At 44.9% G+C, this 27,197-nt stretch overlaps 1 protein-coding gene across 56 annotated transcripts in view, besides 5 other annotated features; it reads right to left on the reverse strand.

Annotated features, from left to right (window-relative positions):
- Positions 1–27,197, reverse strand: part of ABLIM1 (actin binding LIM protein 1) — a 370,264-nt gene that overhangs the window by 92,808 nt on the left and 250,259 nt on the right. For 40 of the 56 annotated variants that reach the window (XM_047425242.1, XM_047425238.1, XM_047425237.1 and 37 more), the window contains 2 exon segments: positions 23,733–23,859; positions 21,088–21,181 (listed from right to left, as the gene is read on the reverse strand). In XM_047425242.1, the coding sequence (XP_047281198.1) occupies positions 21,088–21,181; positions 23,733–23,859 (221 nt within the window). 56 annotated transcript variants of the gene reach the window in all.
- Positions 2,712–2,831: an enhancer, noted in NCBI's record as "active region_4084". NCBI's record gives its function as "activates an Ori minimal core promoter by ATAC-STARR-seq in GM12878 lymphoblastoid cells {active_cell/tissue: GM12878}" and the evidence as "EXISTENCE:reporter gene assay evidence [ECO:0000049][PMID:35858748]".
- Positions 3,002–3,231: an enhancer, noted in NCBI's record as "active region_4085". NCBI's record gives its function as "activates an Ori minimal core promoter by ATAC-STARR-seq in GM12878 lymphoblastoid cells {active_cell/tissue: GM12878}" and the evidence as "EXISTENCE:reporter gene assay evidence [ECO:0000049][PMID:35858748]".
- Positions 17,236–17,285: an enhancer, noted in NCBI's record as "active region_4086". NCBI's record gives its function as "activates an Ori minimal core promoter by ATAC-STARR-seq in GM12878 lymphoblastoid cells {active_cell/tissue: GM12878}" and the evidence as "EXISTENCE:reporter gene assay evidence [ECO:0000049][PMID:35858748]".
- Positions 17,636–17,815: an enhancer, noted in NCBI's record as "active region_4087". NCBI's record gives its function as "activates an Ori minimal core promoter by ATAC-STARR-seq in GM12878 lymphoblastoid cells {active_cell/tissue: GM12878}" and the evidence as "EXISTENCE:reporter gene assay evidence [ECO:0000049][PMID:35858748]".
- Positions 20,287–20,396: an enhancer, noted in NCBI's record as "active region_4088". NCBI's record gives its function as "activates an Ori minimal core promoter by ATAC-STARR-seq in GM12878 lymphoblastoid cells {active_cell/tissue: GM12878}" and the evidence as "EXISTENCE:reporter gene assay evidence [ECO:0000049][PMID:35858748]".

Consider the following 27,197-nt stretch of genomic DNA (forward strand, 5'->3'; position numbering starts at 1 on the left):
AGAGGGTGAATTTTAATTACGAAGAACTGTTACTTAGAGAGCACATGGTGTGTGTCACATTGGTACCTCCAGGTGGAGAGAAATGCAAGATTTGCTTTGCAATCAAAAGCAGAAACCACAGCTCTCTGATAACATTATGGGCCAGTCCAGGTCTGTCACCAAGAATAGACTTCAATAAGTCAAGGTGTTTCCCTATCTGTTCAGCCAATGCTAAGCACCACTAAGCACTATGCAGTGGTACATCTCATCTGGTTTGGGTGGTGGTGGTAGCTCCTGGAAGTCACGGTGCTCAGTGCAATGTACTATATTCTTGGAGAAACACCAAGAAAAAGCAGCACTCGCAGCTTCATGCATTTTGTAATCTGTAAACCTTTGAGAGCAAACAAGCAGTAGCATTAATGCTAAAGGTGTAAGAAAAATTTTAAACGGAAAAAATCCCAGCCATTGACTTCATCGTTATCTGTAAATTGGAAAAAAGCTGTGATTCTTCAATTGCACTCACAAAACAAGGCCCAATTCCTAAAAAAATCAAAACAGTTTGAGACCCACTGGTACAGATGGCGAAAAGAAAAAAGAAATGAAAGCATTCACTTGCAGATTCTAGAAGAAAAAAAAACTAACAGGCATGGCCAGATTTACTAAAAACCCACATTACAAACAAACAAACAACAACAACAACAAAAAACTCTATATTTACAGAAGGGAAAAGTATGGGTAACTATTTGCTTTATAAAATGGATCACTGTATAAGCTTCTTTTTAAAAAAAGACAAAATAGTATATCCCCAGAATGCACTTTAGAATTCAATTGAAAGAAGTTTGACTACTATACCAATCATAGCACTGTATAAAATAAGTCCCACAAGGGCACAGAAGGAAAAGGGGGCAGAAGAATGTATATCCGCAGCAAGTCCTTGAATCTGATACCCCATTCCCAAGATGTGATTTCAGACAAAACCCAAACAAAATAAAAACCAAATGGTCAGGCAAAAACACCTGTCCTGCCACTGTTCCTTGGACCCCGCCAGGCCTCCCTGGGACTCCAGCCTCCTCTCATAGACCCTTCCCCCTCGTTGGCAGCAGTAGGCCCCAAGACAGGTTTCCCTCTAGCAGTGATTCCCAACCAGGGGCATTTTGCCCACAGGGAATATTTAACAGTGTCTGAAGATATCTCTGGTTCTCACAGCTGGGGAGGGAGTGCTACTGTCGCCTGGTGTGTAGAGATCAAGGATGCTACTAGACATCCCATAGACAGTCCCCTGCAACAAACTATAATCCCATCCAAAATGTCAATAATGCTGAGGTTGAGAAACCCTGTTCTACAGGAGCCAAAATCATGACCATCCCTCCAGAAAGTCAGGTTACAAGAACTGAGTAGTTCACTTTCTGTCCTTTTAGGTGAGCTATTGTTTAGTTGAAGAGAAAAATCTGCAGGCTTCTGTTGTCAGGATATAATATTCCCTGAGCTTACTGGATAAGCCACTGATGCGAGGATTAGACTCACTGACACATGAAAATGCTTAGGCAACCGCCTCGAAAACATTGGTCAAAACATTCTAAGTGTTATAAGGGATGCTTGGCAAGGCCTCACGCTTAGTCTTAAAAAGCCTTCTCAAAAGTAATTTATACCAATGAGCCGTGGCAAATTCACCTATTCTATAAGTACGCAGTGACTCAACAAGCCTTTTGATCCATTTATAGAATGGCAACAATTATATTTTAATGAGTTATTTTCACTTACTTGTCAGAACCTGTTTTGGTAATCTAAATAACTTCACATCCTCTTAACATTCCTTATGAGGCTGTCTGAGAGAAAAACAGGCTCAGTTTTCTTTTAAGTCTCCAATCTCAGCTAAGTGACAAATGAAGCTGCTATAGCGACCACACTCCTGCTGGCTTATGGCCAAACTCACGTTTTCTTTTTTTCTTTTCCAACATCATAAATCTATTTTTTTCACAGATGAAATAACTTTCTGGTCCCATTTCTTCTTTCATGCTAGTATAGCACATTTTAAAACACTTTCCCCCCAAAAAAAGTCTTTACAGTATGATTCGATTAATAACTGGGTTTTTAGGAAAACTATTTTCAATATAAAGGCCAGAATCTCTAGATTTCTTTTACTGCATATCAAAGGTGGAAAGAGAGGCAATTGTCAAGCTCTTTCAACCTAGAGCCGCAATAAAACATGAATAACATCTAAACATTTTGTTTCCTTATTTTCATTTATTGGGTATTTCTTAAAGAAAAAAAAATCTCATAATTTACAGTAATAGCTAAATCTACTCATTCCCACGTGCCACTTCCACCACCAAATCCCCCAAACAGGACTCAAATGTAAATTTCACAGAGCTCTACAAACCACAGACAAAACAAAACAACCCCAAAGTCTGAAAACCACAGTCTCCTTTCAATCTTGCGGGTAGCAGCCTAAAAAAACATAAGCCTTGTTTAAAAGGTCAACGCACTACACTTCTCAGTGAAATAAATAACCAGCCTTTCCTGCCCTTCAGTCTAGTTCTGTATCGATGAACAAAAGCTCCTGTCGTTTCTTTTGTATCATCAGGAAAACAAAAAGTTTACATAAATGTATGTCAGGGCAATAAAAGTGACTTCTGTCGCCAGCATCCAGCCACCACATTTGGAGGATCCGAGCGGCCTCCGACCTCACGAAGGAAGCCAGAAATCTCACATCTGCCACGCAAAGCAAAGGACATAGGTCACCTTGTGCAATGTCCGCTTTACCTCAGGCCAGGGTTCCTTTTCTTCTAATTCTGTTCCTTGGCTGTGCTGAGCAGAGAACTCCTCCAGGCTTCAAGTTCAGAACACGGCCAAGAGGCTTTGTAGATGCCAGACCTCAGCCCGACAGACTGAGGCTCCCACCTGCCTGGGTTACATATCAGGCTTCTCTCCGAAGCTCGGCTAAGGCAACGTGCATCCCTCTAGAGACGCACTCCGGAAACCAGCCCCGTGTGCGGCGGGCAGGCACGCTCTCTCACGCCTCCTCTCCTCGCTTTACTTACTAGTTCAACACACCAGCAACCACAATGGGCCAGTCCATGTTCCCAAAAAAGGAGGGGGAGTAGATTTACTTTCTTTCTTTTTTTAAATGCAGGTAGGAAAGTACCATTTCTTTGCATTCACTCACTATTGTCTGCATGTGAAACCGACAGTGATTGTCCCTGAGGCATAAGCTTGTACTGAAACGAGATTCTTAGGCTTTTTGAGTTTCTTTCTCGGATTTGAGATGATGGAAAGGTGCCTAGCTGAGCACAGCCATCACACAGCCTGCAGCCTCCTCGCAAGTCCCTGCTTTTGAGGTACATGTAAGGAACCCCTTATGCAAAAGTATAACAAAACTGAGTTCAACTTTTTATTCCCTTTTGTTACTTCAGAATTTCCATATTATTCTGCAGTACTGTCTGAGACAAATATGATTGGAAAACCTCTTATCAAGCTTTCTTGATTCATATTTTTGGTACATTTTGTATTGTGTGTTTTTAATTGTAGCAGAAAATTACTGGCTAGCTACTGGCTATGTTGCAGGCATTTTATACACACAGCCTCATTTTCAACGAAACCATCCCTGCAGAAATCTCAGGTGAGCCAGTGACTGAGGGGAAGCTGCAGGCTCTCTATGCATGTGAACAGAGAGGAGGAACTGGAAGTTTCTCCAGTGATGGCACAGCCCTTTTAATGTACTCTTTCTTAGGATGATGGAAAGATTTCTGTAACAACTCTTGTCTTTTTTTTTTTTTTTTTTGAGATGGGATCTCTGTCACCCATGCTAGAGTGCAGTGGCACGATCATAGCGCAATCAGCTCACTGCAACCTCCAACTCCTGGGTCCAAGCGATTGTCCCACCTCAGCCTCCTGAGTAGCTGGGATTACAGGTGTGAGCCACCATGCCTGGCTAATTTTTAAAGTTTTTTTTTTTTTTTGAGACGGAGTCTCGCTCTGTTGCCCACGCTAGAGTGCAGTGGCGTGATCTTGGCTCACTGTAACCTCCGCCTCCCAGTTTCAAGCAATTCTCCTGCCTCAGCCTCCTGAGTAGCTGGGACTACAGGTATGCACCACCACACCCAGCTAATTTTTGTATTTTTAGTAGAGATGGGGTTTCACCACATTGGCCAGGATGGTCTCGATCTCTTGACCTTGTGATCCGCCCGCCTCAGCCTCCCAAAGTGCTGGGATTACAGGCGTGAGCCACTGCGCCCGGCAATTTTTAAATTTTTTGTGGAGACAGGATCTCACTATGTTGCCCAGGCTGGTCTTGAATTCCTCACCTCAAGTGATCCTCCTGCCTCAGCCTCCCAAAGTGCTGCAATTATAGGTGTGAGCCACCCTGCCCTGCCACGTTTGTCATTTTTAAGAAGACTAGGATGATTTACGAAATTTTTTAGGGAGATTATTTGCCCACAAAGATCAGGAAATGAAAAGACCCTTTTATATAGACATGTGGAATCTCTCTAAGCTGGTTTGGAAGAAGTCCCAAGCAGTGCTGAGAAAATGTAAGGTTTTAGCAACAAAGCCGTGCTTCTAAAATGAAGAGGAGACTATTGGCTTATACATCATAATAATGACAGGGGTCTCACTAAATTTCTAGTGCATTTTTCTTCTGAGGAGTCAGAAACCTCCATCAATGTGTCCTCACCACACCCTTATAGGGCCAGATCCTCAAAGTGGCATCTGTGGACTTCCCTGTACCAGAATCACCCAGGGCAGGGCTGCATGTTCACATGCAGATTCCCAGGCCTCCTGAATCAGAATGTCTGGGGTGAGGCCTGAGAATCCATACTTCATTATTTTTTAAAAGCATGAATAACTTCATTTTTATTGTGGTAAGAACACAACATGAGATGTACTGTCTTCAATTTTTAAGTGCACAATACAGTATTGTTAATGATAGGCACCATGTTGTGCTGGGAATCCACACTTCAAACAAGATATGCAGGTGATTGTTAGGCATAGTGGTTTTAGAACCTCAGCCTTAGATGGTAAGACCATTTGGGGTTAAGGATGGTACCTTTTACCTCTGTAACCCCTGCACCTCACCTCATGTTTAAGATATTAGCATGCAATGTCTGTCAGAGGAGTGAAGGTGTCCCCCTTTACAAAGGTAAAATGGGACACTTACCCAGGCTTCTAGTCACATGGCAAGAAGTAACTTGAGCGTCAGAATTAGGCTCACTACCCACGAGTCTTCATCCTCTTTTTTTTTTTTTTTTTGAGACAGAGTCTCATTCTGTCGCAAGGCTGGAGTGCAGTGGTGCGATACTGGCTCACTGCAACCTCTGCCTCCCGGGTTCAAGCGATTCTCCTGCCTCAGCCTCCCAAGTAGCTGGGACTACAGGCACATGCCACCATGCCCAGCTAATTTCTGTATTTTTAGTAGAGATGGGGTTTCACCGTGGTGGCCAGGATGGTCTCGATCTCTTGAACTCATGATCGCCTGCCTCAACCTCCCAAAGTGCCGGGATTACAGGTGTGAGCCACTGCGCCCGGCCTCTTCATCCTCTTTCTACTCTCCTATATTTGGATGATCAGTTTCTCTTTTTGGATTTTATTTATTTAAGCATCTCTATGTCTTCTGGGATGGGGTCAAAGAGGATGGGTCATCTTCAGATTTACTGAGCAAATTTCCAAATTCGTGAGTTTCCAGATGAAAAGAGTGAAGAACGCCGTGTGGAGTCAAGAGGTTCAAGTCACCTCCCTAGTTGGGCAGCCCTTGGTGAGCAACCTGAGCCACCTTTCCCATTGGCATGCCTCCTGTGCACATGCATGCACACGATTTGGGGAAAGAACGTGAAGAGGAAATAACCCGAAGGTGGGCTGGGCGTGGTGGCTCACACCTGTATTTCCAGCACTTTGGGAGGCTGAGGCGGGTGGATCACCTGAGGTCAGGAGTTCAAGACCAGCCTTGCCAATATGGTGAAACCCTGTCTCTACTAAAAATACAAAAATTAGCCAGGCATGGTTGCATGCACCTGTAATCCCAGCTACTTGGGAGGCTGAGGCAGGAGAATCCCTTGAACCCGGGAGGCAGAGGTTGCAGTGATCTGAGATCGTGCCATTGCACTCCATTGTGGATGCCAAGAGTGAAACCCCATCTCAAAAAATAATATTTTTAAAAATAATCAAAGGGTGGGCAGAGGGATGTGTTTGAAGTGATGGAAATGTTCTAAAGTAGGATTGTGATGATGGTTGCACAACTCTGTAAATTTACTAAAGGTCATTGAATCATATACTTAACATGGGTGAATTTTCTGGTATGTAATAAAGCCTCAACAAAGCTGCTACTAATCACAGGTGTTGTTGGCTAAAATCTGTTCCAAAGGGACTCAGTGCTAAGGCTCAGGTTCAAGGAGCTGATATAAAAGCCACACTTTGGCAGTCCAGAGAAGTTAAGAGACCTCTTCACCGTCATACTAAATACTGATGAAGGCCCAGTCTGGGTAAATGTGCTGGGTAGTATACAGAGCAGTTAAACAGACAGCACAAATCCTCCAGGAGTTTATACTTAAACAGATTATATCCAGCTAGATGCAATAAAAGAAACATTAACAGAAAAAAATCACTTGGGCCTTTATTTCATATGTGAGTGAAATAAATATTTATTTATTTATTTATTTATTTTGAGACACAGTCTCACTCTGTCATCTAGGCTGGAGTGCAGTAGGGTGATCTCGGCTTACTGCAACCTTCACCTCCTGGGTTCAAGCAATTCTCGTGCCTCAGCCTCCCAAGTAGCTGGGATTACAGGCATCCGCCACCATAGCCGGCTAACTTTTGTATTTTTAGTAGAGACGGGGTTTTGCCTTATTGGCCAGGCTGCTCTCAAACTTCTGAACTTAGGTGATATGCCCACCTCAGCCTCCCAAAGTGCTGGGATTATAGGCGTGAGCCACCACACCCAGCCAGAAATAGGTATTTAGTAAAGGGATGAGAAGTTTAGGCCTAAAGAGTATGTGAAGTCTTTAACATTTTTGGTTAAAGGACATGGCAAAAATTCACCACGGGAAAAATAATCATTTATCCACACACCTTTATTGAGCAGTTTTCAGATGCCTGGTAAAAAAGTAATTAAAAATACACCATGAAACAATGGTAGATTGAATTTATGGGCATAAATGTGTGTGAATGTCTAAAGTTAAGCGATTTAAGAAATTTTCAAACCCAAGCATCAACATGACTGTTAACTTGTGTATCTGAAATAATCCCATATAACTACATCAGAGAGTAAACAGAGATGGGTGAGCCTGACTCCTTCATTCAAACAGGAAGCTGTAAGTTCATTCCAAATATTGGGCTTTTACAAAATCTGTGTTTTATAAATGAAGAAAATGGAAAAAATATTTCTTGAGGCCCGGTATGTGAGGCACTGTCTCAGATGACTCTTACTATCTGTTTGAAGCCTGTACAAGGTAAGTATCATTGCCCACATCGTAATAATAAGAGGATGGGACATCTTCAGATTTACTGAGCAAATATCCAAATTTGTGAGTTTTCAGATGAGAAGGGTCAAGACCTATCCCAGCTTCAGGTGCCGGGACTCAACATGTAAGCAACTTGCTGAGAATTACTCAGCTTCTTTTTTGTTTTGTTTTGTTTTGTGTTGTTTGAGACAGAGTCTTGCTCTGTTGCCCAGGCTGGAGTGCAGTGATGCGATCTCAGCTCACTGCAACCTCCAACTCCCTGGTTCAAGTGATTCTCTTGCCTCAGCCTCCCGAGTAGCTGGGATTACAGGCACATGCCACCACACCCAGCTAATTTTTGTATTTTTAGTAGAGACGGGGTTTCACCATGTTGGCCAGGATGGTCTCGATCTCCTGACCTCGTGATCTGCCTGCCTCGGCCTCCCAAAGTGCTGGGATTACAGGCGTGAGCCACCGCCCTCCACCAGATTATTTAGCTTTAAGTGTGGCTTCTGGGATCAAGTCCTGGTGTGTCTATGCAGTGGTGCCATCTCAGCTCACTGCAACCTCCACCTCCTGGGTTCCAGCAATTCTCGTGTCTCAGCCTCCTGAGTAGCTAGGATTACAGGTGCATACCATCATGCCCAGCTAATTTTTGTATTTTTAGTAGATACGGGGTTTCATGATGTTGGCCAGGCTCGTCTCGAACTCCTGGCCTCAAGTGATCTGCTCACTTTGGCCTCACAAAGTGCTGGGATCACAAGCATGAGCCACGGCACCTGGCCTGTATCAGTTCTTTCTGCTAACCACTCTTCTCTCCCTTCCACCTTACCTATCCAGGCCACATCAAGCTCCAAAATTCCAAACTCTATCCCTGTTTCCAAGGTGCCTGCAGCTTTGTGTTTTGCTATGGAGCCATTAACATAGTTCATGAAGAGTTTTCATTTGCAAGGCCACTCCAAACTTTCCCTTTTTGGGAGGAATTTCTGTACCAGTTCATTTCCGCTGGGCTGGATGGGCACCAGCCCTAACTCCCTCCACTTGACTAGCTGGCAAACTACAAGCAAGTCCATCTGCTGGAATTGGCATCATATCCTCCCCAAGGCGGGAAGCCACGAGGTCCAGGAAGCAAGCACATTCAGGTGTGAAACAGACGAGGAGGCAGCCTGTCCATGGTGGCAGACCCCTCAGCGCAGCATCACTGGATCCAAAGGAACAAAATGCTCCCATTTTCCCTGAAGCACATGCCATCTCCTGGGCCCTGGGGAAAATTTCATATCCTTAGCCTGGTAATACTGTGCCCGGAAGAGAAATTATTCTGCTGACCTTTGGATGGTACCATTTTTCAACATAGACCCCTCCAAGTTAAACATTCATGGAGAGGCCAAGCGTGTGGAATCACAAGGACAAAATCGAGCCAAGGTAGCTTGAGATGCCATCTTTGGTGTGACTTATTATGAACCCAAAAGCTAAAGAAGATTGCTGGAGGTAGTTGCAATGCCCAGCAGAGGCACAACCCAGATTCCAGGAGTCAGGCTGGCTTGGGTGTAGAGACCCACTTGTCTGTTTCTCCACCACCGTCAGCTAGGTCAGCAGATACAAGTGGATTAGTAGGGTCAGTCTTTCAAATGGAGATTAGGTCTGAGTGAACCCAAAAAATTCTGTTTCCCTCATGATTAAGCTAAAATTAGCCTGTAGTAGAAAATATTTTTAAAAAATTTTTAAACTGGCCAGGTGCAGTGGCTCACGCCTGTTATCCCAGCACTTTGGGTGGCTGAGGTGGGTGGATCATTTGAGGTCAGGAGTTCAAGACCAGCCTGACCAACATGGTGAAATCCCATCTCTAGTAAAAAACACAAAAATTAGCCAGGGGTGGTGGTACGCGCCTGTAATCCCAGCTATTTGGGAGGCTGAAGCAGGAGAATTGCTTGAACCTGGGAGGTGGAGGTTGCACTGAGCCAAGATAGTGCCACTGCACTCCAGCCTGGGCAATGGAGGGAGACTCTGTCTCAAAAAAAAATAAAATAAAATTTATAAGCTGACTACTGGTTTGGAATAGAAAAGGACATATTATTATAATCTTGCAATTAAATCAAACAGTACAATCAAATCACATGCTTAAAATCAAAGAAACAAGGTTGGCAAAAAGTGAACAAAGCCATCAGTAACAATAGCAAACAAAGATAAATTTCTCACCTTGACTACCCATTCCTTAAGAACCAAAGTTGACTTCTTTTTAGTAATCACCAAAAATCTCTCTTGAACTCAGGACATTTACTGTGTATGCCCATTACTTGGCCATTTAATACTGTGGGTCCAAAATTATCGTGTTTTTGTTGTTGTTGTTGTTGTTTTGAGACAGAGTCTTGCTCTGTCCCCCAGGCTGGAGTGCAGTGGCGTGTGATCATAGCTCACTGCAGCATTGCAGCTTCGAACACCTGGGCTCTAGCAGTCCCCCTGCTTCAGCCTCCCAAATAGCTGGGACTATAGACCCTCACCAACACATCCAGCTAAGTTTTTAAATTTTTAGTAGAAGTGAGGTCTTACTGTGTTGCCTAGGCTAGTCCTGAACTCTTGTTCTCAAGTGATCCTCCTGCTTTGGCCTCCCAAAGTGCTGGGATTACAAGCATGAGCTACCACATCTGGCCCTGGATTACCTTGTGCACTGAGAGACACCACCAAAGATTAAACTCTTTTTCTGCTCCCCCAAGAGAAGGTCATGAAAATTCCCGTGGAATTCATTGAAGATCACCTCTGTCGGGTAGGTGGGGCACCCTGGAATCAATCATTTAGAAGAAGGGGCATGATCACCCCTTTTATGTCTATAGTGGTAAAAGAAGAGGTAAGCAGAGCCAGGGATGGGAGCTGGGAGGGAACAGCAGGAAGGGGAAGGGTGCTGCTCTGGGTCCCTGAGAAAGCAGATGCAGGAGTCCTTCTGATGCCCTGATGTGCTGGGTTCTGGAGAGGAGAAAGGACTACTCTGGGGACATCATTTTGGTGCCCAGAATAGTGGCCAGTCCAGGAACTATATCCCTTACTGCACTTGGTGGTAACTTGTCTAGGCAGGCTGTGTCTCTCTGCTATTGAATCCCAGCCATTTCTCAACTGCCATATGCCCTGGGTCTCTGAAGAAGCTGCAACGGCCCTGGGCACTCATGATCCCTGAGGCGGGGTGGGGGTGGGGGGTTCCTGGGACACTCCAGGAGGTTTTCAGCTTGGATACTCCATGACTTTTAAAGACGCATGCCTTATCTCTCTGAGAACAAGTCCTAAATCTTACATTTTATTTTGTGACCCACCCGCCGCCGCCACCCCGCCGCATGTGGGGCTCCTAGCACATGCTCAATAATCCTGGTTGACTTCCTGGAAGAGTCTCACTTGACCTGCCGGGTCAGTTACTCCCCTGCTTACACATTTCAGCCAAACTCTCTGAAGTTAAATAATGCTGAAAAAAACAAAACATCCTTTTAACTCAAGATAAATAGAAATTCTTTTCAAACTGTTATTTCCAGATAAGAAAGCCCTTCCATTTGTGCTGACAGGAAATGGGGTGATTTTTCCATAAATATTAAATCTTTACTGCATGGGAATGCAGTCTGCTGGTGCCCTGGCACAACACATTTCCTCCTGTTGTGAAAGTAAGAGAAAGTGGCCAGCTTCAGGTGAATCAGATAGATTTTCCTCAAATCATTCATTCAATCAATGTGCTCTGCCCTACTGGGTCAATTCCCAACCTGATAGCCATGAAGGGGACAAAATATTAGTACCAGGTTGTTCTTCTCCAGTAAAGTGTTGCAAAACCAACTCATCACAAACCATACATTGGATTTCAACTTGAGTCGACTTTCCCAGCACTGGAGAGGTTTTACATTCACTAAGCTACACTCTACAATCAAGGCCATGTCCTGTGCAGTGGTAACCTCTCGCCACACAAAAAAACAAAATTTAGGCTCCCACAGAGGGAAAGAGCCTAGAATAGAATCTTTTTTTTTTCTCCCTGAGATGTTGTCTTGCTCTGTTGCCCAGGCTGGAGTGCAGTTGCATGATCTTGGCTCACCGCAGCCTCTGCCTCCCAGGTTCAAGCGATCCTCCTGCCTCAGCCTCCTGAGTAGCTGGGATTACAGACTTAAGCCACCATGCCCGGCTAATTTTTGTACTTTTAGTAGAGATGGGGTTTCGCCATGTTGGCCAGGCTTGTCTTGAACTCCTGACCTCAGGTGATCTCCCACCTCGGCCTCCCAAAGTGCTGAGATTACAGGCATGAGCCACCGTGCCTGGCCAAGCCTAGCATAGAATCTTGCATTAAGATGTTTATTGACTTGAATGGCCATTCTTGCATAGATAGCTAGATAGGTAGATGTGTGTATGTGAAATTGAGAGATAAATCACATACCATACAATTCACCCTTTTAAAGTATATAATTCAGTAATTTTTAGTATACAGTTGACCCTTGAACAGCGTGGGTTTGAATCACATGGTTCCCTTTCTTTTAGCCAAACGTGGATTGAAAATACAGCATTCAAGGGATGCAAAACCTCTGTACACAGAGGGTTGACTTTTCCTATAAGTCAGTTCCTCAGGACTGACTTTGGGACTTAAGTCTGACAGATTTACCAGGGGGATGGTGGTCCTGGAACCAATCCCCTGCATATACTGAGGGATGACTATACTCATTGAGTTGTGCAGCCGTCACCACTGTCTAATTCTAGAACATTTCATTACTCCAAAAAGAAACCCCATACCCATTAGCAGTCATTCGTTATTTCCCCCTTCCCCCAGCCCCTGGCATTCTCTAACTTACTGCCTGTCTCTGTGGATTTGCCTATTCCACACATTTCATACAAATGGTATTGGACAATTATGGTCTTTTGTGACTGTCTTTTTCCTTCTTTCTTTGTTTTTTTTTTTTTTTTTTTTTTTTTTTTTTTTTTTTTGAGATGGAGTCTCACTCTTGTCGCCCAGGCTGGAGTGCAATGGCATGATCTCAGCTCACTGCAACCTCTGCCTCCTGGGTTCAAGTGATTCTCATGCCTCAGCTTCCTGAGTAGCTGGGATTACAGGTAACTGCCACCACGCCCAGCTAATTTTTGTATTTTTAGTAGAGACGGGGTTTCACCATCCTGGCCAGGCTGGTCTCGAACTCCCGACCTCAGGTGATCTGCCCACCTTGGCCTCCCAAAGTGCTGGGATTACAGGCGTGAGCCACCGCACCTGGCCCTGACTTTTTGTTCACATAACGTTTTCAAGGTTCCTCGAAGTTGTAGTATATATCAGAACTTTGTTCCTTTTTATGGCTGAATAATATTCCGTTTTCTAGATATACCACCTTTTGCTTAATTCATATTTAAAATGAAGCAATTTCTCCAGTTTATTGTCAAGTGATGGTCTGACAATACACAAGGTGACCAGTGTCTCAATACTGACCCTGTTTCACAGGGCCTTCCTGACTGTCCATTGAGCTGCAGAGTCCGAGACCAGAGCTTCATGAAGAAAATATGCTCTCAAACTTGAGACAGCATCATCCATCTACAACATTCTCTAAGGGCAGAGCCAGGTGGCCTGGTGGAGGCTACAGATGCTTCAAGGAGGCCAGACTATGAGGCACAGAAACACAGCAGACTCTATGAGCAAAGTCACTGATTTTCAGTGACATTTTACACTGGTAAAAAGTAAACCAACCAAGCAGTACATGTTTATTGTCCTGAGAATAGGTATAAAAGGGACACTGAGACAGGCCTTTACCATCCACCAGGAATGGTAACTTTTGGTCCTTCAGCAAGTTATATCAAGGGGCAAATTATTTGTTTTCTGTAATGATTATTGTCAGGTAGATAATAAAGTTCAGGCTCACTCTCTCTCTCTGTCTCTATGTGTGTATGTCCCTATCTTCTGAGAATTGAAAGAGACCTATTTTCCTTATTTTTTCTTTTATTGATACATAATATTTTACATATTTATGGGGTTCATATGAGTATTTTTTTACATGCATATAATGTATAATGCTCAAGTCAGGGTATCTGGAGTATTTATCACCTTCAGTATTTATCATCTCTGTCTCCCAGCTACTTTGAAATATACAGTATATTGCTGGTTAACTGTAGTCACCCTAGTCTGCTACTGAACATTGAACTTCTTTGTTCTAACTGCATGTTTGTATCCATTCACCAACCTAAGAGATCTATTTTCTAATCATGGTTCTGTCACACCAATTAGATCCAGAGTCTCGGGCACTCAGTAGCCTCATCTGTAAATGAAGGTGACTAGTAACTAACTGCCCTGACCAGCTTGCAGGCCTGTGGTGAGAATTAAATGTTTATGAGATCACTTGCAGATGTTAAAAATATTATACAAAGTCAGGATACAGTGGTGGCTTACTGTCCACTGGGACAGACCATCTCAACCAATATACTCAGATAACAGGATCAGATAACATGATCCTCAAAAATATTTGGGTCTACAATTAATTAATTGGATGAAAGCATGAATTCCTCTGAGCACAGTGAGAATGAGAAGAATGCAATTAGCCTTCAGCATGGACACGGGTTATTATTTGTTCCTTGCAAGTGTATGATATACACAGAACAAGAAAAGGGGAATTGACATGTCAGCTTCTCTTTTGCAAATTACATCTCTGATGGTGACAAAAAGATTAGATGTCATGCAAGCATCCTAGGATAACCTATGTTTTGCTCACTAGAGAATAGCTTAGCCCAGAACAAGACCTACTCACTGCTTATGATTACTGCCACATAACATACTTAAAATACCTATGCCAAAAAGAAGGAAGGGGACAAAGGCCTCCAATTTATAATGTGAATTCACCTCAGAAACATCATAAACATTTGCCCCTCAGCTTTGTGAAAAAGCAGTTTTTTAATCAGTCCAAAAGCAAAACAAAACAGAGCCACCAGTTTTTAATTCCTCTGAGAGCCAAGGAAAAGGATTTGGCTGAATCCCATTGTGATTCCATTTCCTTCACCCCAGGAGTTCAGCAGGAGGGGTCTAAAAGCGAGTCTAAATCCTGTCCTGCTGTCCACCCTTTCCAAGTTAACAGATAAAGACAGGGGAGGGTGGCCTCGTAGGGCAGAATGGACAGGCATTCCAGGGTCTAGAGGACTTCCCTCGGCTCCATCTGAGGCTCTTTCTTATGTGGTGGGTGTACAGGCTGTCACAGACATCACTGCACGTTCCCAGAGAGCACAGGTAGCACAGTAAATACCACGAGACACAAGGACAGGTGCCACCAGCCCGCCCAGAAAGACTAGATGAACCCAGGCCAACTGATTTCTGGGTGCGGTGATGTGAGGAAAGGGAAATCGTGGGACTCAGAGCCCCGCCCTCTCCCTCTGTGGTCAGAATGCACATAAGACAACTTTCCTTTCAGGGAGGAGAACAAAAGAATGCTCCCGTGCAGCCTGGCAGGTGCCTGCTCAGGGAAGTACCACTCTGCAGTGTGGGACGAGGGCCGAGCGCCTTTGTCCTGAGTGAACCAGTGCAGTGCTCCATGCACACAGGTAGCCCCTGGGGGCATAGGAATTGCATAAGACAGCTTGAGAGGCCAAGAGAAAGTCAAGCCCACCCTTCCTTAGTCTGTTGGTAAAACAGCCCAAGACTAGGGGAAGAACACATGGGACAAAACCTTTTCCTTTACCCTCCAGGCTTCTGTTTTCAGTTTGACTTTTGCTTTTTTTTCCAAACACTTGTCAAGAATAGATTCAACCTCTATCTAATCCAAAGAGGTATGGGGCTGGGCGCAGTGGCTCACGCCTATAATCCCAGCACTTTGGGAGGCCAAGGCGGGCAGATCACCTGAGGTCAGGAGTTCAGGACCAGCCTGGCCAACGTGGTGAAACCCCATCTCTACTAAAAATACAAAAATTAACTGGGCATGGTGGCGTGCACCTGTAATACCAGCTACTTAGGAGGGTGAGACAGGCGAATCACTTGAACCCAGGAGGTGGGGGGTGCAGTGAGCTGAGATCATACCACTGCACTCCAGCCTGGGCAACAAAGCAAGACTCTGTCTCAAACAACAACAACAACAAAAAAGAGGTATAGGAAGTATTACATTAAGAGTGTGGTGTTCCAGAGAAGATTCCATATCTTAAGAAAGCACCATCAAAAACAATCTACTTTTAGCTATGTGCCTAGAGATGGTTATACCTTTGTAAACAGAGACCAAGAAACTCAGTTGCTGTCTTACTTAAATTTAGGGTTGGAGATATGAGACTAACCCCCTTATAAATTTGGGAGTCCTTACTTGATTACACCCACCATGAGCTGCCTTCATTTTGAAACTAGCTGTTGCTGTTGATAATAACAACCATTTTGTTGCTGTTTCTTTTCTTTATGAGGCTAGCAGGTAACCACCTGTACCCTGGAAAGGATGTCTGCTGGAGTGAGAGCTGTCCTAGGGCTATCTACCAAAGATGGGAAGAAATGCATTCCAAAGAGATGCCCCACTCCCCCATGACATTAGTGACCTAGGTCTGAAGTCTCTTCCAGCTTCCTGTTACCATTAGGCTGTTAGGCAGAAAGAAGGTGGGGGCAGGGGAAGGGGGAGGAGGAGGGGAGAAGGAAGCGGGAGAAGTTTGGAGAAAAGACGGAGAGAGCAAACTGGAGTATCTCACACTAATTTGCCCCTGCACTTCTTAATTAGGAGGCAGGTTGTAAATATCTTCAGAACTCTCCTAAATTTATAAGTTAATCAGCAGAAGCATTTGAAGATGTACCATTTATAGCAAGATCCCCCTAAAAAGAGAATCTTGCTGTCGAAAACAAAACTGAAAACAAGTGATGAGAAATCAAGCTACAATTTGAGTGTATGCTCTATGCTGAGTGTTACGTGCTGGTTTCCAGAAAAAAAGAACCATTGGTTCTGTCTGATCCCTTACAGCCAAGACATGAGAATTCTAGAACTCAGATCCTTAGAGCCGAAGGGACTCCGGGAGGTCTAGCAGCCCAAGTCTTGGAATTACACGTATATTTTCAATTCTTGCACTTAAAGAAAAGAAAACTGAGGCTCAAAGAAGTGGCAAGCCTTGCCCAAGGGGCCCCAGCTGGTGAGTACAGATTCAGATTGGCTGCCACCCAGAGCCTTTTCAACTGAGCCGCTGGTGCTCGGGCCCGTCTCCCCACCCGTTCAAGCTGATGTGATTTTCAGGGCTTACAAGGATTAAGGAATGACAGAGACAGAGAGAACTCGAGGGCTGCTGGAGGTTACATGCTAGTCCCTTTACCTGGGAAATGAAGACAGCCCCAAGAGGCTGAACAACCTGCCCCAAGTCACTCAGGAATGAGTGACACAGCCAGACCTGGAGCGTCTCTTCTCTATCATTGTCCAGTGACCTTTCTCTTTCTCAAAGGTCCCTCAGGTGTCTGGTGGCATCTCTGGTGACACCACACCTAGAGAGGCCTTAGGGTCCTCTTAGGGCTCAGTGAGTGTTAAATTAAAACCACACAGGGTCTGCAGGCCTCGCTGGGATGATACGTGCATGATTTCCCAGGCTTACTCAAGCAGCTTGAATGGTGACCCGATCATCACCAAAAGAGACTCCCTATCAATTCCCTGGAACCTGTGAATGCTAGCTTATTTGGGAGAAGAGTCTTTGCAGATGTAATTAAGCAAAGGATCTTGAGATGGTGAGGTCATCTTGGATTATCTGGGTGGGCCCTGAATCCAATGACAAGTGGCTTTACAGGAAAGAGGCAGAGGGAACTGTAACAGAGAAAAGGAGACAACACGCAAAAGGCGATGTGAAGACAAAGCCAGAGATTGGGAGGCTGCCACAAGTCAAGCAACACACAGAGCCATCGGAAACTGGGAGAGGCGAGGAAAGGCCCTTCACTAGAGCCTTCAGAGACAGCATTGCCTTGCCTGCACCTTGCTTTCAGACGTCTAACCTCAAGAACTGACAGAACTCAGTTTAAGAACTAACCTCAAGAACCTCAAGAACTGTTTAAGCTTGTTGCTTTAAGCCACCACTGCTACAGCTGACACAGAAAACTAATACATTTGTAAAGGGATAAAATAAATTCATCTGTGGATAAAATAAATATAAAAAACCCACAAAACCCCAAGGTTCACAGTATTTACAACAAATCCACCATCACAATATTTCACCACCACCAAGACCCAAGCATGAGAGGCCGAGGGAGGAGTGTGTGGAGACCGTCCTGCTTTGTGTTGGTAACCAAGCCAAACCGACTCACAAGCTGTCACACGTCAGTGTGATAACCCTGCAGGACGTTTTTCTAGCTCACACGCCCATCTAAGGACTACGTCTGCTGGGTGGAGGCTGAACATGGTGCAAACTACTCCCAGACGCCTCAACTCTGAAAGCCCCGCATGGAAAGTCTCCAAGTCTTAGGCCTCACAAAACGGCCTTCACAGAAACCTGAAGCCAATTTGAGAAGAGGTCTCTGCAGCCACAGTGAATGCCAAATGACTCAGGTCTTGAAGCAGAAAACAGAGTAAGCACATGTTTCTTCCAAATGGCATGTTCTTGGATCTAGCTTTATTTTAGATTTTCTTCCCCACAGCTGTTGAGCTAAATCTGAAGGGAATCAACACACACACACACACACACACACTCACACACTCAGACACACACACACACAGAGCCCTTTTCCCTCCCCAGCATGTTTTGGGGGAACACAGCTCCACATGTGGACTAAGAAGACTGCAAACACGGCTGTCACAAATGTGGGGACCACGTTCAGTATTTTCTCGTCTCTCTTTGTACAGCTGGACATCTGGGAAATCATTCTGATGTTCTATTGTTTCTTTTTATGAGGGCCAGGCTTGGTTGCTCATGCCTGTAATCTCAGCACTTTGGGAGGCTGAGGCAGGAGGATTGCCTGAGGCCAGGAGTTAGAGACCAGCCTGGACAATAGAGTGAGACTCCCGTTCTTTACAAAAAATAACAAAATCAGTTGGGTGTGATGGCATGCACCTGTAGTCCCAGCTACTCAGGGGGCTGTGCAGAAAGATAGCTTGAGCCCAGGAGTTCAAAGTTGCAGTGAGGTATGATTGTACCACTGCACTCCAGCCTGGGCAACAGAGCAAAACCTTGTCTCTAAAAAAAAAAAAGAAAGAAAGAAAAAAGAAAAAAAAAAAAGAAAAGAAGAAGATGATGATGAAGAAGGAAGAAAGATGAAAGAAGAAGGAAGAAAGAAGAAATTAGAAGGAAGAAAGGAAGAAGGAGGAGGGAGAAGGGAGGAGGAGGGAAGAGAAGGGAGGAGGACGAGGAGGAGGAGGAAGGAGGAAGAAGAAGAAAAAAGAAAGAGAAAGAAGAAGGAGGAGGAGAAGGAAATTTCCAAGTTGCCCCAACTCAACAGGTTTATTTCAGTCCTCCACAAGAGATCAAACTCAGGAATCCCAAGGGAAATGGCGTCAGGCCCCAATCAGGGCACTTCTGAGAAGAGCTCTCTGGGGAGGGATGAGGGATGGACTCAGGGCCAGGAGGGGAGGCACCAACCTCCTGTGCATCACACTCTGAGCGCTGTGATGGGACCGCTCGGACTCCAAGCTCCCCATCAGGTGGGTCCCATCCACCTTCTCCAACAGCCTTCCTGGGGATATGCTTCTTTCTCCCTGGTCAAGACACTAGTTTTGAAGTGTCCTTGGGTCAATAATTAAAGCTTTATTGGAAAGGCTATGAGAGAACTCTTTCCACCCTTCCTGTGTGTGCGGAGGGTGGGGGCCCATTTCTCAGGCTCCACTCCAGCTAGCACCACCATCATTTTGTGCCCAAAGTTCTGTAGTAGCCTCCTAGCTGGCCTGTCTCCACCCCAACTCCCTTCCCAGCCATTTAAAAAACATCTGAGCTGAAATGCACGTACTATAAAATTAAACATTTTAAAGTGAACAATTCAGTGGCACTTAGTACATTCATTCACAATGCTATGCAACCACCTCCTCTAATTCCAAAATATTTTCATCACCCCAAAAGGAAATCCTGTATCCATAAAGCAGTAATTTCCTATTTCCCCTTCCCCCAGCCTTTGGCAACTACCAATCTGCTTTCTATCTGTATGGATTTACCTATTCTAGATATTTTATATAAATGGCATCATACAATATGTGGCTTTTTGTGGCTGGTTTCTTTTACTTAAAGGCTCATCCTGTGGTTGGCAGCACTGCTTCAAGGCTGGATAATATTCCACTAGTTGGATACACCACATGTTGTTATCCATTCACCTGCTGATGGACATTGGGTTGTTTCTACCTTTCGGCTGATGTGAATAGGGCTGCTGTGAACGCGTGCGTACATAGATTTGAGAACTCTCATACGTTCTTTACACAACAACCTGGTCTAATCACATGACACTCCAGCTACAAGCAGTTCAATGGCTTCCTACCGCTTTTAGGGTAACACCCAAACTCCAGAATATGACTCTTGGGACCCTGCCCACTTCTCCAGCATCATCTGTCACATCGGTGCCCAACTGACGTTTCTTATGTATCCTGTGCTTTTCCTCACCTCTGAGCCTCTGCAGGTATTGCTCCCTCTTCCCAGAACCCTCTTCCTCGGGCTAAGAGGCAACTGCATTTGACCACAACCACACCCTTCTCTCCCAAATGCAATCAGCTGCCCACGTCCCAGCACACATCCAATGCTGGCCCCTCTGTGCTTCATGGAAAGGGTTTACAGTGGGATTTAGGGGGCTACACTGGGCCTTTGCTGTGAAACCCCACGGAAGAGACAGCACAGCCCAGAAACACCATGGTGGCGGGGAGGGGGGCCTCAGATCTGTGTCTGTGTCTCTGAAACGTGCCCTGCTGGGAAGGTGGAACATGGCTCCGTGGATTTAGCAGCCTGGTCCTTGACAAAGCAAGATGACAAGCTGCAGCACCTGTAGTCATCCCCCTAGTTGTGGGGCTTCCTGACCCACCTCTGCTTGGGCCATACTCTCCACGCTGGCAGGTGGGCCACAGATGAGGCAGTCTTACTTCTTCCTTGGACCTGGCTGACACCCCACAGGCCTGGGAGAAGTAGGGTAGCGACTCCTTCTGAACTCTGGCCCCAGAATTCTGTGTCTCACCCCAGAGGAACTGGCTCAGCCCAGAGGCAGAAGCCTGTGTGGCGGCTGCTGAGAAAGCAGGAAGAAAGCTCCCTAGCTGGAGGCGGTTGCACCTGAACTTGACAGGCTTCAGCTCAGCCCCGGCCACAGGGTGCTCTGGGTCACACAGGATGTGGTTTTTGAAGTTTGGGGAAGCCAATGCCTCTACCTTTCCCCCACCCTTCCTTTCTTAGCTTCCATTCTGAGCCTCTGCTCCCTGAATCTGCACACGCCCACAGATGCATGCATAGACATATGCACACATGCACACATGGATGTATACACACATGATTTCACACCCTTTTCATTTACTCTTGTCTAACTTCTAAAAATGAAAATGGTCTAATATAGCCTGTCCTACATAACTCCTACCAGAACCTTTATCATTCTTTTTTTTTTCCTGTGCAAATTCTCCATCATTCTAATTTCCACGTGAGCCTTTGAGGAGAGTGCAGCACCTTAATTCTTGAAAATAGTCACCTGCGACTACTTTCTTTCTCCACAGGTGAAAAAAAGATGGAGGAGGTGGGAAAGGGTCCCCTCTTGTTTGTTTCTGAGGGCCGCTGAGAAAGATGGCGGTAGCTATGAGGGAGCCGGTCTGCCACTTACCTCCAGGACTTTCCCTGTGATAAACTGGTGACACGCCTCACATTTCACCCCAAAGAGTCCCTGGTAGTCCTTTTCACAGTACGGAGCACCATCCCTGCAAGACAAAAACGTGTTCGGCTCCTGAGGAGGTGGCCAGGGGCTGGAGAAGACACCAAAACCACATTTCTCCAAGGCCTTTCCACAGAAGGGCAGGACATATTTCTCCCCTGCCCAGTGTTCACATGCCTGGCAATCCAGTCAGACCTGGCCAGACAGGATCAAAACCACAAACAAAACGATCCAGAGAGCACTCTGCGGCTCTCGGTGCCACACAGGCGAAACAGCCATGTCGCCATATGGTCACCCTTGCCGATTTTTTACTGTCTCAGAGCTAACTAGCAGAAAGCCTGGCAGCATTCTCTCTCCACAGGCCCCCTGGGCACGTAGGAGTACTGAGCCCACTGAGCCCACATAACAATAATTAATAAACCAGAGAAAGAATGGTGTTAATGAACCTGAAGAAGATACTGGCAAATCAATAGGCAATATCACACCTGAAGGCAAAACACTAGCGACAATTTCATTAAAACCACAATAAAGGCAAAGCTATAAAATATTGTTAATGTATATAATACATATAGTTATTAATATGACACTGAGGCCCGGCACGGTGGCTCATGCCTGTAGTCCCAGCACTTTGGGAGGCTGAGGTGGGTGGATCAACTGAGGTCAGGAGTTTGAGACCAGTCTGGCCAACATGGGGAAGCCCTGTTTCTACTTTAAAAAAAATACAAAAATTAGCCAGGTGTGGTGAGGTGTAGCTGTAAGTCCCAGCTACCCAGAAGGCTGAGGCAGGAGAATTGCTTGAACCCAGGAGGTGGAGGTTTCAGTGAGCCAAGATCGCACCATTGCATTCCAGCCTGGGTGACAGCACAAGACCCCATCTCAAAAAAAAAAAACAAAAAAAAAAAACAAGAACACTGAGCCCGTCAGATGTGGGCTCAGCATTCATTCCCCTACAAGGGGCCCACATGCCAGAGTACAGCCTCTGAACAGCCTGCAGACACCACCTCCTCAGCTCTCAGGAGGCCTCCGGAGCCCAGGGCCGCCTCCTTCAGCTCAGTCAACCTCCTTGGAGCACAGGAAAAATATTATATCCTGTGTGTGATTGCATGGAAAAGCTATAGAGTGCCACCCTAGACTGCCAAGTTACCCACCCCCGCATAGCTTGCAATGTTCCGTTAGAAGCCAGGCACCTGTCTTATTTTGTCCATAATGGTCACCTGAAGAGCTTCTTGCCTTTTCTTTTCTTTCTTTTTTTTTTTTTTTGAGACAGAGTCTTGCTCTGTCTCCAGGCTGGAGTACAGTGGTGCGATCTGGGCTCACTGCAACCTCCGCCTCCCAGGTTCAAGCAATTCTCCTGTCTCAGCCTCCCAAGTAGCTGGGGTTGCAGGTGCCCACCACCATGCCCGGCTCAGTTTTTGTATTTTTAGTACAGATGAGGTTTCACCATATTGGCCAGGCTGGTCTCGAACTCTCAACCTCAGGTGATCCGACTGCCTCGGCCTCCCAAAGTACTGGGATTACAGGCATGAGCCACCGCACCCAGCCTTCTTGCCCTTTCAGTGCAGGTGTTTCAGCCTTACCCTGGGCCTGTAGAATTAGATTTCTAGTGGGTGGGGCCCAAGCAACCTTTTGTTTGCTTGTTTGTTTCACTATATTTTTAAACTACATTCATTAATATTTTCGAATAGGTGATTTCATGTGGTTGGGGAAATGCATGAATTAATGAATGAATTTATTTGTTTATTTTTTGAGACAAGGTCTTACTCAGTTGCCCTGGCTGGAGTGCAGTGGTGCGATAATAGTTCACTGCAGCCTTGATCTCCTGGGCTCAAGTGATCCTCCCACCTCAGACTCACAAGTAGCTGGGACTACAGGCATGTGCCACCATGCCTGGCTTGCTTGCTTATTTATTTATTTATATTAGTAGAGATGAGGTCTTGCTATGTTGCTCAGGCTGGTCTCGAACTCCTGAACTCAAGTGATCCTCCCACCTTGGCCTCCCAAGTGTTGAGATTACAGGTGTGAGCCACCACGCCCAGCAGGAAAATTTTTTTTAAGGCATGAAAAGGTATACGGTGGAAAATTTCCCCTCATTGCCAGGCTACATTTAAAAAAAAAAAAGCCTCACTTCCTTAACTGTAGCTATTATCCACTATTATTGAACATGAGCCCATTTCCTGGCAGGCTGTTTTGTGCAGTCCTAAAAGGCCCACAACCTAGGCTTTGTGTGTTTTTGGGGAGCGTCTATGAATGTACTCCAGCCCTGGAAGGAGAACAAAGGCTTACTAGTTCCTCATAGGAGAATGAACAGCAACAGGGAAATTATTAAATGCTTAATTGGTAATGACATACAGTGTAACAGTGTCAGCTTCATTAATTGTTAAATTAGGCAATGATTAACATATCATTAGGTTTATAGTAGCCAAGGCAAAAGAATACAATTCTTTTCAAAAGTTTTATAGCAACAAGTTCATTATGATGGCAGGATGTGAACAATTTCAGCACCATTGATGGGGTGGGGCCCCTGAGACCAGGACCTGCAGAAGAACCACAACGCCCGGTGCCCACTGAAAGGAACGCGTGCCCGCGCCCAGCCTTACTTGCTGATGTACTCCCCGGTGAGGACCTTCCCGCAGGACTTGCATTTAAAGCACCCCAAGTGCCACTGCTTATCCAGCGCCAGCAGCGCCTGCCCATTCTTGATATCTCTTCCGCAGCCGGCACAATCTGAAAAAGAGCAGCCGCCAGTGGTTACTACACATTTCCTTTGCTAAATCCAAGCAGGCAGCCCAATTTCAACCCCACTGTGTGCCCATCACACACTCAATCAATATTTACTCAAGCACCATCTCGGGTCAGTTTCTTTCCCTGCACAAAATCTTTCTTGGTGAAGGCTCACAGGCTGCGTCCTCGGAAGGACACAGAACGGAAGCTTCATGAACCTCCGTGGATCTACGGGGACGGATGTCCTTCACCCATCTGCTTACTTGGGGGTTTTTTAATGTATCCTCTGAGCTACAGATCGCCCAGAGAATATTTAATTATAGTGTCTTGGCTGTGATTTTAAGAAAGTGCGCATAGGCATTTATTAATTGAGGGCACTGTGAACAACTCAGCACTTTATGCTGATGCCTCGCCTAACACTATATACGTGATTACTCCTGGAGGCTGCCCGTAAATCTCATTTTTGTAAATGGGACCCTACTTCCTTATCAATCCAAACCAGCCTTTCAAAGATTTGTGATCATCAATTAAGTGGCTCTTAATTCCTTAGCTCTCAATTCTCCTTGGCAGGCTCCTGGAAGGACAATAAAGGAGAAATTATTTCTTCATGGTAAAGAGTGTGGGCCTGGAATAAGACATCCCAGTGAGGAACCCCAGCTAACTCCTCGTTGGCTAGCTATGTGATCAAAGCAAGTTACACCCTTTTGAAGCCTGGGTTTCTTCTTAGGGAAGTGGGAATGTTATCAGCACCTGGTCTCAGCCCTCTGATGAGGATTCAGTGCATTTAATAGATTTAGCAGTAGATGGCACATTGGAAGTGACTAGAAACATTTGCTGTTATTACAATTGCCATAATTAATCTGATTATCGACTGCTTCATTCTGTTAGGGAAGTTGGGTATTAAAAAGAAACCAGAAGACTGTAAATTGGTGCAACCTTTCTGGAAAGCAACTTCAACAACTACAGACATTCCACATCAATGTACCTGAGAGAATGAAAGCAAGCACGTGTCAAGTTGGCCACGTGTTCCAAGCTGATCAGACAGAACACACACAGAATAAAGCCATGTCCTGGCAAGTCCACTTAGTGGCCAGGTTTGGACCAAGACAGAGTCCACTTGGTACACAAAGTGATGAAACAACCCCCTCTTCTGACCACATCCGTGACTGCCACTGCTTTTTCCTAATGACGCTTCTAGCCCAACTTTAATTCTCTGACCATCCAGAAAACCTTGAGACCCAATCGCTGACCTGGTCCTGCTTCTTGACAACACTTAACCTAGAACTGCTTCTAATCCTTTGAATCCTCTTTAAAATTACCTAGCACGTGGGCTGGGTGCGGTGGCACACACCTGTAATCCCAGAACTTTGGGAGGCCGAGGCGGATGGATCACCTGAGGTCATGAGTTCAAGACCAGCCTGACTAATGTGGTGAAACCCTGTCTCTACAAAATACAAAAAATTAGCCGGGCATGGTGGTGCACGCCTGTAATCCCAGCTACTCAGGAGGCTGAGGCAGGAGAATTGCTTGAACCTGGGAGGCAGAGGTGCAGTGAGCTGAGATCATGCCATTGCACTCCAGCCTGGGCAACAAGAACGAAGCTCCGTCTCAATAAATAAAGTAATTAAATAAATAAATAAAATTACCCAGCATAAGCCCAAATGCTGTGAAAACTCCTCCAAACTGCACCCAGAGTGGGCTCACAGTTCCTCTGGCTTCCCTCTTGCTGCAGCTAGTTTAACCCGTTCTTTTTCTTTTTTTTTAATGACAGGTGTATTTCTGGCGATCTTGGACAGTGGGTGTTCACATAACCTTGAGATCCAGTAATTATTTTATGTCTAAGATTTTATTCTACAAATATATTTGCAAAAGCACATATGTGCATGCATATGTTCCCTACAGCATTTCTCTAATAACAAAAACTGGAAATAGGCTATATGGACCATCAGTGAAGGGCCAGTTAAATAAATTATAGTATAGTTGATAATGGAATACTATGGGCTGTTCAAAAGAACGAGGCAGATTTGTGCTCTGGCATGGAAAGATGTTCAAAATAGATCAAGTAAAAAAAGCAGGCCATAGAACAGTAAGCATAGCATAAGCTCATTCATAAAAAAGTAGTAAAGAAAATGGTGTGTGTGTCCTAGTCCCAGAATAGAACATTTCTGGGGGAAAACATTAAAAATTCTTAAGAAACTTCCCTCTCTGGAGGAGGACTTTACTGTTTAACTTCACATCCTCTGTGTTGTTTGAATTTTTAAACCATGATAATGTAAAAAATTTGACTATTTATAAAATTTAAAAATATAAGTTCTGAATATTGCAAATTAGAATTTCTTAATGTATGGCCCATTATCTAGTACACATATGAGTGTGTATTAGATGGTCATATGCATATGAGTGTATATTAGATGGTCATAAAAGATTAAGCATTTTTTTAAAAGCTGGGGTTTATATGAATTCCAACATCTGACCAAAATTTTTATAAAAGGAATCTCACATCTGGTAGTTTACTATAAAGATAAAAATGGAAGGCCACGATATTAGTTTAAAAATATAATTTTTAAAGTTTAGGAGCACAGTATGGATGTAAGAAAACTGATAGTTTTTTTTAAAAAAAAGACTACTTTTAGAGCAGGTGTAGGTTCACAGCAAAATTGAGCAGAAGGTACGGAGATTTCTGATACAACCCCAGTCCCTCCCCGTGCACAGCCTCCCCCATTAGCAACATCCCCCACCAGAGTGGAACCATTGTTATAATTGATGAACTGACACTGACACATCATGATAGCCCAGAGTCCACAGCTTACATTAGGGTTCAGTCTTGATGTTGGACATTCTGAGTTTGGACAAAGGTAGTAATGACATGTACCCGCTCTTATAGTATCATACAGAGTAGTGTCACTACCCTAAAAACTCTCTGTACCCCATCTATTCATCCCTCCCTCCTCCTAACTCCTGGAAACCACTGATCTTTTCACTGTCTACATAGTTTTGCCTTTTCCAGGATGAAATGGACAATTTTTTAATCCAAGTCTAACTGAAATTTTTCTTTATTCTTCTAATTACATAATTCCCACTAGGTGGCAGCAAAGATTTTAATAATAAGGAAGATGCTGTTCAATAGAATTTTTAAAAGAGAAAATCAACTTTCAGAGATGGCTTTTCATTTCTACAAATGACAATGGATGGGCTCAGGGAGGTTGACAGAGCTGTTTGCAGTCTCTCTGCTGCACCAAAAGTGAGGTCCAGGGAGGTGGATGGTGTGGGGAAGGTAGGAGCAGCATGGGCATTGGTGTCAGGAAGACTCGGGCAAGTTACTCTCTCCGAACCCTCATTTC

This window comes from Homo sapiens, chromosome 10 (assembly GCF_000001405.40).
Source record: "Homo sapiens chromosome 10, GRCh38.p14 Primary Assembly".
Taxonomy (NCBI): Eukaryota; Metazoa; Chordata; class Mammalia; order Primates; family Hominidae; genus Homo; species Homo sapiens.